We start from the raw sequence: 9,915 nt of genomic DNA on the forward strand, positions 1-9,915 counted from the left end.
TAGCCATTGTGGAGAATGGCTGAGTCAATGACTATTTTATAGCTGAACTCCTGTGACCTATTGTGTGGCTTCCGCCAGCAGCACTTGGTGTGGACAGATAGGGAAGGAACAGATGAATGAATTCATTTGGAATCAGGGATTTGACAGACCAAACCAAGGTGATGAACAAAACAGAGGTTAAAGAGAATTCTGACTACAGGAAGGAGTGTTTTTGAAATCCTGAGCTCTAGACATTAATCTGGAGACAAAGAAGGAAATGAAGAAAAGAGATGCTAAAAGAGTTATTAGGTTACTGTTATAAAGAGGTTGCTAAAAACTCTGATGGGAGTGTTGAACAAGCTACCGTAAGGAAAGGAGCCTGTGGTTACGGATACCTATATATGAATTAGTAATTTTATAAGTGGATCGATTAGAAGTGCTAGTGATTAGCATGCGAGTACACAGCAGAAGTGGAGAGGAGGAGGCCACGACTGATTAGGAGATCAAGGAGCTCAGAGCTAATGGCACAGAATGGGTCATCAATGTCATCTTCACCCATAGCTAATGTGGAAAGAAGACAGGAATTGAGGTGGAGATTAGACAGGTACCAAGATTTTAGAATGAATCCTAGGGAAATAATTAGGAATGTTGATATGAAATAGCAAGCAATAGGGCAGAATAAAGTTTAATGGAATAAGCCTCAGTGGAGAAGGTTTTTATGAGATGGTGGAGAAATGAAGTGGAAATGGTGAGCTACAAAAGGATATTGGCTCTACTTGCTGGTCCTATGGCAAATAGGATTAGTGAAAGTATATGGGCTAGGCAGGGTGGGTCACGCCTATAATCCCTGCATTTTGGGAGGCTGGGGTGAGGGGATCACTTAAGCCCAGGAGGCAGAGGCTACAGTGAGCCATGGTCACACCGCTGCACTCCAGCCTGAGCAACAGAGCAAAACTCTGATTCAAAAAACAAAAGAAAAAAATAAAAATAAATAAAGTAAACAGCCACAGCTGCTTCTAGTTTTCTTAGGAAAAGCCAGATTTAAAGGCAAGAAAGTAGAGAGAGAGAGAACATGCAGGCAATAGTTGAAAATAAAGGGATAGTTGTCACTGGCTATAGAACAGTAATTCTAGAGGGAATGGTAGTTTGACATGTGAAGGACTATAGAGTGGCTAGTTCAAGAGTAAGGAAGCAGCAAGCGTGATGGGGACTTCACCTATGCTTTGACTGGTTTAAAGGCAACGAGAAGCCCCCCTTTGTTTGTTTGTTTGTTTGTTTGTTTTGAGACAGAGTCTCCCTCTGTCACCCAGGCAGTGGTGCAATCTCGGCTCACTGCAACCTCTGCCTCCCAGGTTCAAGTGATTCTCATGCCTCAGCTTCCCGAGTAGCTGAAATCATAGGCATGCTCCACCACACCTGGCTAATTTTTGTCTTTTTAGTAGAGATGGGGTTTCACCTTGTTGGCCAGGCTGGTCTCAAACTTTTGAATTCAAGTGATCCACTGCCTCGTCCTCCCAAAATGCTGGAGTTACAGGTGTGAACCACCACGCCCAGCCCTCAGTGATCTTTTTGAGGAAGGTAGTCATGGGTCCTAGTAGCTAGTAGAATCAGCTTCCTTGACTGAGCTGATGGAGAATCCAAGATCTGTAGATGAAACTAGCTCTTAGCTATTTATTGAATGAATATTCCCTGCTAAGTATTTATTTAAACCTCACAATAACCTTGTAAGTATAATTATTCTAATTTTACAAATGAGAAAACTGAGACTTAGAGAGACTAAGTTTACGAAGCCAGAGGTTGCCACCAGGGATTTTGAGCTATAATACTCACGAGTTTTGTTTGACCAACATGTTTTCAAAGGACATACATATAACTCAGCAGTTAGAAGAGTTACAGCTAAACCATCTTATTAGTTTTTAATGTCTCCGGATTATTCCTGTGAACATCTAAATTTGCTAGCCTCATTTAAGCTAGATATATCTGGTTGCATATTTTGCATATTCTAAATCAACCATTTAACGAGAAAAGTCAGGTTTCATCTCTGCCATGACAGTGTAACCACCCTAAACAACTCTAAAACTTAACAAAATATATAAGGCAATTGCTATCAGGTACTGGACCACAAGAAATGCAGGATCATAATCCTCAAGAGAGGGAACATACATAGTATGAACTTCACATTTTCCCTGGATTGCTGCCTGGGGGCAATTTCCAGATGACTGGGTAGAAAAGTGAAGCCCAAGCAGAACATAGCAGCCTCACTGAGCTAATGAGGTAGGAGTCAGAGATTGGAGCTGCTGAAGCAGCTGGATTATGGCTTGGGAGATGATGTAGCTGCACAAAGAAGGAGGGGTCAAGAAGTCTGCATGGAGGCATCCAGTGGGTTATTAGCTAAAGACTGAGCTGTATATACACAGGGTGCATCTTCACAGGTCCAGCAAACTATAGCTGATGCAAGACTGAACTGACTGGAGATAAGAGAGTCACATAGGGTTAAGAGATGTTGGGTTTCTAGTCGAGACAGTGTTGAGAGGCCCTGTTGAGAATCCTGGACATTGAGATTCCAGAAATGCCCTAGGGAATAAGGACCATTACTGTAAGTAAAAGCCACACCCTAAGAATAAGGGGAGGAAGCATCAAAAAAATTTTTTTTGGTTTGCTACAACGGCTGAAAATTCCTAAAATCGGTGATAAACCAAACCTACAGCTTCAAAAAGCCTAGAGAACTCACATAGCATAAATTAAAAGAAAATCAAAATCAAGCCTAGGTATATTGCAGTCAAAGTAAAGAGAAATTTTTAAAGGAGCTATAGGAAAAAAAGACATTAAATATAGGAGGCCGGGCGTGGTAGCTCATGCCTGTATCCCAGCACTTTGGGAGGCCAAGGCGGGTGGATCGTTTGAGGTCAGATGTTCAAGATCAGCCTGGCCAACATGGTGAAATCTTGTCTCTACTGAAAAATACAAAAATTAGCCGGGCGTGGTAACGTGGCCTGAAATCCCAGCTACTTGGGAAGCTGAGGCAGGAGAATCACTTGAACCGGCGAGGCAGAGGCTGCAGTGAGCTGAGATTGTTCCACTGCACTCCAGCCTGGGCGACAGAGACTCTGTCCCAAAAAACAGGAAAACAAGGATACAAAAGATGGCTGATCTATCATAAACAGTGGAGATTAAGAGACAAGGGAATGTCATCTTTAAAATGATAAAAAAAATTTCAGCATTTTCTTTAAAAGAAAAAAAAACTACCTGAAAATTATTTAGCTAGTGACTCTATTCTCTAAAAATGAGAATGATATACAGATATTTTCAGATAAAGAATAGCTAGGAGAATTTGTATCCAGCCGACTTGCAATATAAGAAATGCTAAAGGAAGTTATTTAGGCTGAAGAAAATGATATATCAGAGGAAAAGTTGTGTTGATACAAAGGAATAAAAAGCACTGGAAATGGTAAATATTTGAGTAAATGTAAAAGGCTAGCATTTTTTTTTTTTTTTTTTTTTTTTTTTTGAGACTGTCACCCAGGCTGGAGTGCAGTGGCGCGATCTCAGCTCTCTGCAAGCTCCGCCTCCCGGGTTCATGCCATTCTCCTGCCTCAGCCTCTCCAAGTAGCTGTGATATTACAGGCGCCCGCCACCACGCCCAGCTAATTTTTTATATTTTTAGTAGAGATAGGGTTTCACCGTGGTCTCGATCTCCTGACCTCGTGATCCGCCCGCCTCGGCCTCCCAAAGTGCTGGGATTACAAGCGTGAGTCACCGCGCCCAGCTGCATTTTTTGTTCTTAATTTTCGTAAAAGACAACTGACAATTTAAAGCAAAAATCATGGCAATGTGTTGTAGGGTTTATATCATATGTAGAATTTATGACAGTAACACAAAGAATGAAGGTAAATGAAATTATTTCACGAAACAACTCCACTTATAATAGTATAAAAAATAAATACAATACTCAGGAATAATTTTTTTTTTTTTTTTTTTTTTTTGAGACGGAATCTCGCTGTGTCGCCCAGGCTGGAGTGCAGTGGCGCGATCTGGGCTCACTGCAAGCTCCACCTACTGGGTTCATGCCATTCTCCTGCCTCAGCCTCCCAAGTAGCTGGTACTATAGGCGCCCACCACCACGCCCTGCTATTTTTTTGTATTTTTAGTAGAGACGGGGTTTCACCGTGTTAGCCAGGATGGTCTCGATCTCCTGACCCCGTGATCCACCTGCCTCAGCCTCCCAAAGTGCTGGGATTACAGGCGTGAGCCACCGCGCCTGGCCCAGGAATAAATTTAACAAAGAAAGTTCAGGCAGGTTGTGGTAGCTCACGCCTGTAATCCCAGCACTTTGGGAAGCCGAGGCAGGTGAACTGACTGAGGTCAGGAGTTCGAGACCAGCCTGGCCAACATAGTGAAACACCTTCTATACTAAAAACACAAAAAATTAGCCGGACGTGGTGGCTGGCGCCTGTAATCCCAGCTACTCGGGAGGCTGAGGCAGGAGAATGGCTTTGGGAGGCAGAGGCAGTGGTTGCAGTGAGCCGAGATCATGCCATTGCACTCCAGCCTGGGCAACAAGAGTGAAACTCTGTCTGAAAAAAAAGAAAAAAAAGAAAGTTCAAAATTTAACAACTGAAAACTATAGTATATCATTGAAAAAGTAAAAGACCTAAGTAAATAGAATAAATGGAAAGACATTCTGTATTCATGGATTGGAAGACTTAATATTGTTAAGAGGCCTGGGCAACATAGCAAGACCTCATCTCTACTAAAAATAAAAATTAAATATATATATATTTTTAAGAGAGAAATTCTCCATAAATTAATCTATACATTTAATGTAATTCCTATCAAACTCTCAGGTGCCTTTTTCCCCCAAAATTACCATGCTGATCATAAAATTCATGTGATTTAAAGAACCCAGAATAACTGAAACAATTTTACAAAAGAAGTACAAGTTGGGCATGATGACAGATGCCTGTAGTCCCAGCTACTCAGGCGGCTGAGGTGGGAGGATCATTTGAGCCCCCGCAGGAGTTCAAAGTTGCAGTGAGCTATGATTGCACAACTGTGCTCCAGCCTGGGTAACAGAGCAAGAACCCATCCCTAAAAAAATGAACAAACAAAGTACAAAGTTAAAGGACACACACATCAATTTTAACACTTTCTATAAAACTACAGTAATCAAGACAGGATGATACTTTCATACAGATAGACATACAAATCAATGAAATATAATTGAGAATCTAGAAATAAATGCATACACTTATGGTCAATTGATTTCTGGCAAAAACACCAAGACAATTTGATATAAAAGAATAGGCTTTTCAACAAATAGTGCTGAGACAACTGTATATTCACATGAAAAGAAAGAAATGGGACCCTTACCTCACACCATGTCAAAAATTAACTCAAAATGATTAACTATAATGACCTAAATATAAGAGCTAACACTGTAAAACTTAGGAGAAAGCATAGTATAAATCTTTACAGCTTGGATTAAGCAGTGGTTTCTTAGATATGACACCAAAAGCTCAAATAACAAAAGAAAAAAAAGATAAATTGGACTTCTTCACAATTAACTCATGTGCTTTAAAGAATACTATAAGAAAGTGAAAAGACAACCCACAGAATGGGAGAAAATATTGGCAAATCATTTATCTGATAAAGGATTTGCATCCAGAATATATAGAGAATTCTTAAAAGTCAACAAGTAACTCAACTGAAAATGGGCAAAGGATTTGAACAGATATTTCTCCAGAGAAAACACATTAATGTGCTTTCATGTGCAATGAGCACATGAAAACATGTTCAACACTTGTCCAGGTGCAATGGGGCTCAGGCCTGTAATCCCAGCACTTTGGGAGGCTAAGGCAGGCAGGTCACTTGAGGTCAGGTGTTCAAGACCAGCCTGGCCAACATGCTGAAACCCTGTGTCCACTAAAAATACAAAAAAAATTAGCTGGGTGTGATGGTGCATGCCTGTAGTCCCAGCAACTCAGGTGGCCGATGAACAAGAATTGCTTGACCCTGGGAGGTGGGAGGTGGAAGTTGCAGTGAGTCGAGATCATGCTACCGTACTCCAGAAAAAGAAAATCATTAGCTATCAGGAAACACAAATGAGATACCACTTCGTACCCAACAGAATAGCTAAAGTTTTTAAAATAGACAATAAGTGTTGATAAGGATGTGGAAAAATTGGAACCCTTGTACATTGCTGGTAGGATTGTAAAATGGTGCAGCTACTTTAGAAAATAGTTTGGCAGTTCTTCTCTAAACACAGAGTAATCATATGATCCAGCAATTCTGCTCCTAGGTATATACACCAAGAAAACTGAAAACATAGGTTCACATAAAAATTTGTACACATTCTGAATGGCATTTTTGTTAGAAAAAAAAAAACCTGTACACAATGTTCATGCAGAATTTTCATATAGCCCAAAAGTGGATACTATCCAAAGTCCATCAACTGATGAATGGATAAACAAAATGTGATATGCCCAAACAATGGAATATTATTCCACAATAGAAAGGACTGAAGCACTGATAACATGCTTTAACATGGTTTAAAAACATAATGCTAAGTGAGAGAAGCCAAACACAAAAGGCCACATATTGTGTGCTTCCCTTTATATGAAATGTCCAGAATAGGCAAATCCATATAGACAGAAGGTCAGTTAGTATTTGACAGGGGCTTGGAAAAGCAGGAATGAGGAGTGATTGCTAATGGGTGGGGGTTTCTTTGTAGAAATTAAAGTACTAATTTGATAATGATGATGACCATACAACTCTTCAGACTTATTAAAATCCATCCAATCCTACACTTTAAAAGGGTGAATTTAATGGTATTTGAATTATATCTCAATTTTTAAATTTCTGAAGAACTCTATGGAAGGACATAAGGGCTCTTATTTGGGATAGAAAAATTCAGTATTGAAAAGATGTCAACCTTCCCCAAATTAGCCCATAAATTCCATGTAGATCTAATCAAAATCTTAATAGAACTTTTTTTGGCTTAACAAAATGATTCTAAATTTCACTGGAAAAATAAATGTGAAAGAATCGTTTTAAAGTCTGGAAAATATAAAATTTAGGGTGGTAAGGTTATAGACTTAGCTCTCCTGGATATTATATGTGTATTTTGAAATGTTTGAAACATGTTTAAAATCACATTCAGTGAGGTTTTTTTCAATTTTTAATTTTTAAAATAATTCAAGTATACAGTTGGCCCTCTACATCCATTAGTTCCACATCCATAGATTCCAACCAGCCACAGATAAACAAATATTAGGGGGAAAAAAGATGGTTGCATTTGAACTGACCATATTCAAGCCTATTTTCCTTGTCATTATTCCCTAAACAATATAATATTAGCAACTATTTACATAGCATTTATATTATTTTTTTAAATTATACTTTAAGTTTTAGGATACATGTGCACAACGTGCAGGTTTGTTACATATGTATACATGTGCCATGTTGGTGTGCTGCACCCATTAACTCATCATTTAACATTAGGTATATCTCCTAATATATTAAGTATTATAAGTAATCTAAACATGACTTGGCGTATACAAGAGGATGTGCAAAGGTTTTATGCAAATACTACACCATTTTCTATCAGGTACTTGAGTATCCATGGATTTTCATATTCATGAGGGTCCTAGAACCAATCCGCCCCCCACCCCGGATACCCAGGGACAACCATGTGACTTTTATAATTATAAAGCAATAAATCATGAAAAAGCAAATTAAGAAATAAATACTCCAACTATGCTTCTTCTTTTCCAATGCTACTTTACTCTCTTTCAGGCTGAAAATCTCTTGTTTCAATGTATCATCGTATACATGATTTCAAGTCCCTTTTTCAGACTTGTTGGTTTCTCCGAATATAGGTTAATTTATGAATAGCCTCCTAGAGTTTGGCACCTAACCTGAGGCACATTTGATGTGGAATGATTGGCATAAAATAAAGGTCAATTTTCTTGTCATTCTAGTTACTTCATTTATAGTAGTGCATCCTAAAATCATATTAGCCTTTCTGGGTAGCTGATTCATAAAGTTGACTGATACTAACTAAAGCCCTGTGACTTTTTCAATCATTAGTGCTGCTAAAGCCCAAACTTTCTCTATTATCTTGTCTCTTTTGCAGTTGGTATCTGGAATAAAGTGGCCTTACCTTTATTTCTATCAAATTACGTCTTGATTTAGTGATCCCAATCCATTGCATTTGGTGCAATTGTCCAAGATACTCATTAACTCTGCCAGCTCTGTGATATCTGAAAATTTGAAAGGGACGATCTTTAGATCATCATTTAAGTCACTGATGAAAATGATTATTGGGATATCTTGGGGAACACAGACTACAGCATAATATGAAAATCACCATCTACATTGTTAGTTTCCTTCACGTTTCTGGCATCTAGCCCAAAGGTGCGCAGACCTCAATGCATTTAAGGGTCTCCTGGGCAGCTTGTAAATTCCCTAGACTCACCTCTAGAGATTCAAATTCGATAGTCTAGAATAGTGTCCAACAATCGGCAGTTAAAACTAACACCCACTTTTAGATTTGCGTAAGACTGTTTGTTTGCATTGGTCATAAGCGTGACAGAGAAGTCATGTCACAAACCTTGCTGAAGGTGTAGACGTTCATATTCATATTGGGTCTTATAATTTTTTACTGACAGTTTGACAGGATAAATGTATTTGTGCTATCTTAATTTACATTTTATTATCTTCTAGAATGAAATTGAAGACATTCTTATATTTTTCTTGGCCATTGCAAATTCCCTACTGATTCTTTTTTTCTATTTATCAATTGCTTTTATTTCTTTCCTGGTAAATATGTAAGCTATGGCTGATAGTTTTCATGTGTTATAAGGATTACAAATGTTTTTCTCAATTTCTTTGTTTCTCTGTTCTCAGTTTGTCATTTGTATTTTAACCTTTTTACATATTGTCTTTTTCTATAGCAAGTATGTTTCTATTTCTTCTGCAAAAAATCTAACAATTTTTATAATTTGTCATTATTTGAAGTCATGCCTAAAAACTCTTTCTCTGGGATTATGTAAATATTCAATAACATTTTCTTTAGAATACAACCTTCTGTAGTTTTATATCTTTGATATCTTTATATTTTTTGAATTTTATATACCTCTAGAATGCTTTTAAAATATAATTTTTGGAAAATCTGAATCAAGTATGTTAATTGTTGAAATACTAACAATTGAGGAATTGCTTATATGTATCATGAGATGAGACTGGTAAATTATACAGAATATCCATAAGATAGAATTCTATGCGGCAAATGAGATTTTGCCCTAAAAGGATATTTTCTGACATGTAGATATTCACAATTTAATGTTAAGTGAAACAAAGCAGAAATACATACACACATTCCAATTCTGTTAAAAATATTGTATGTATGTGCATAAAAGACAAAAAACTGAACAGGATACGAGACAGGATGGCTGTGATGTATGCAGAAATGTTAGCAGTGTTTGTTACTGTATAGTGGGGTAATGCATGTTTTCATATGTTGCTTACTTTTGACAATAAACATGTTTTAGCAACAAAACACACAAAAAGCTAAAGCTATATACTATGTTGAATTCTAATAACTTGAAGCAAAATAGAAAAATATGGTAAAGTATAAAGTGGGAATTACTTGGTTTTAGATGAACTGCATAATATTTGGAAGTTATTTAGACATTTTTCATTTTCAAACACAACAGGACTATGATCGTGAATCATCAATGCCCAGCCAAGTGAGTAATATAGCTACTTATAAGCACAGGTTTAACTACTACTTCTGTATTATATGCAAATACAAATATGGCTGGGCACAATGGCTCACACCTGTAATCCCAACACTTCGAGAGGCCAAAGCAGGAGGATTTCTTGAGGCCAGGAGTTTGAGACCAGCCTGAGTAATATAGCAAGACCCTGACTCTA

At 37.9% G+C, this 9,915-nt stretch overlaps 1 annotated feature.

Moving 5' to 3' along the window:
• Positions 8,413–8,582: an enhancer, noted in NCBI's record as "experimental_105610 CRE fragment used in MPRA reporter constructs". NCBI's record gives its function as "activates a minimal promoter by MPRAs in K562 erythroleukemia cells, with activity observed for both the introgressed and non-introgressed 9:113902157 variant alleles {active_cell/tissue: K562}" and the evidence as "EXISTENCE:reporter gene assay evidence [ECO:0000049][PMID:34662402]".

Source organism: Homo sapiens, chromosome 9 (assembly GCF_000001405.40).
Source record: "Homo sapiens chromosome 9, GRCh38.p14 Primary Assembly".
NCBI lineage: Eukaryota > Metazoa > Chordata > Mammalia > Primates > Hominidae > Homo > Homo sapiens.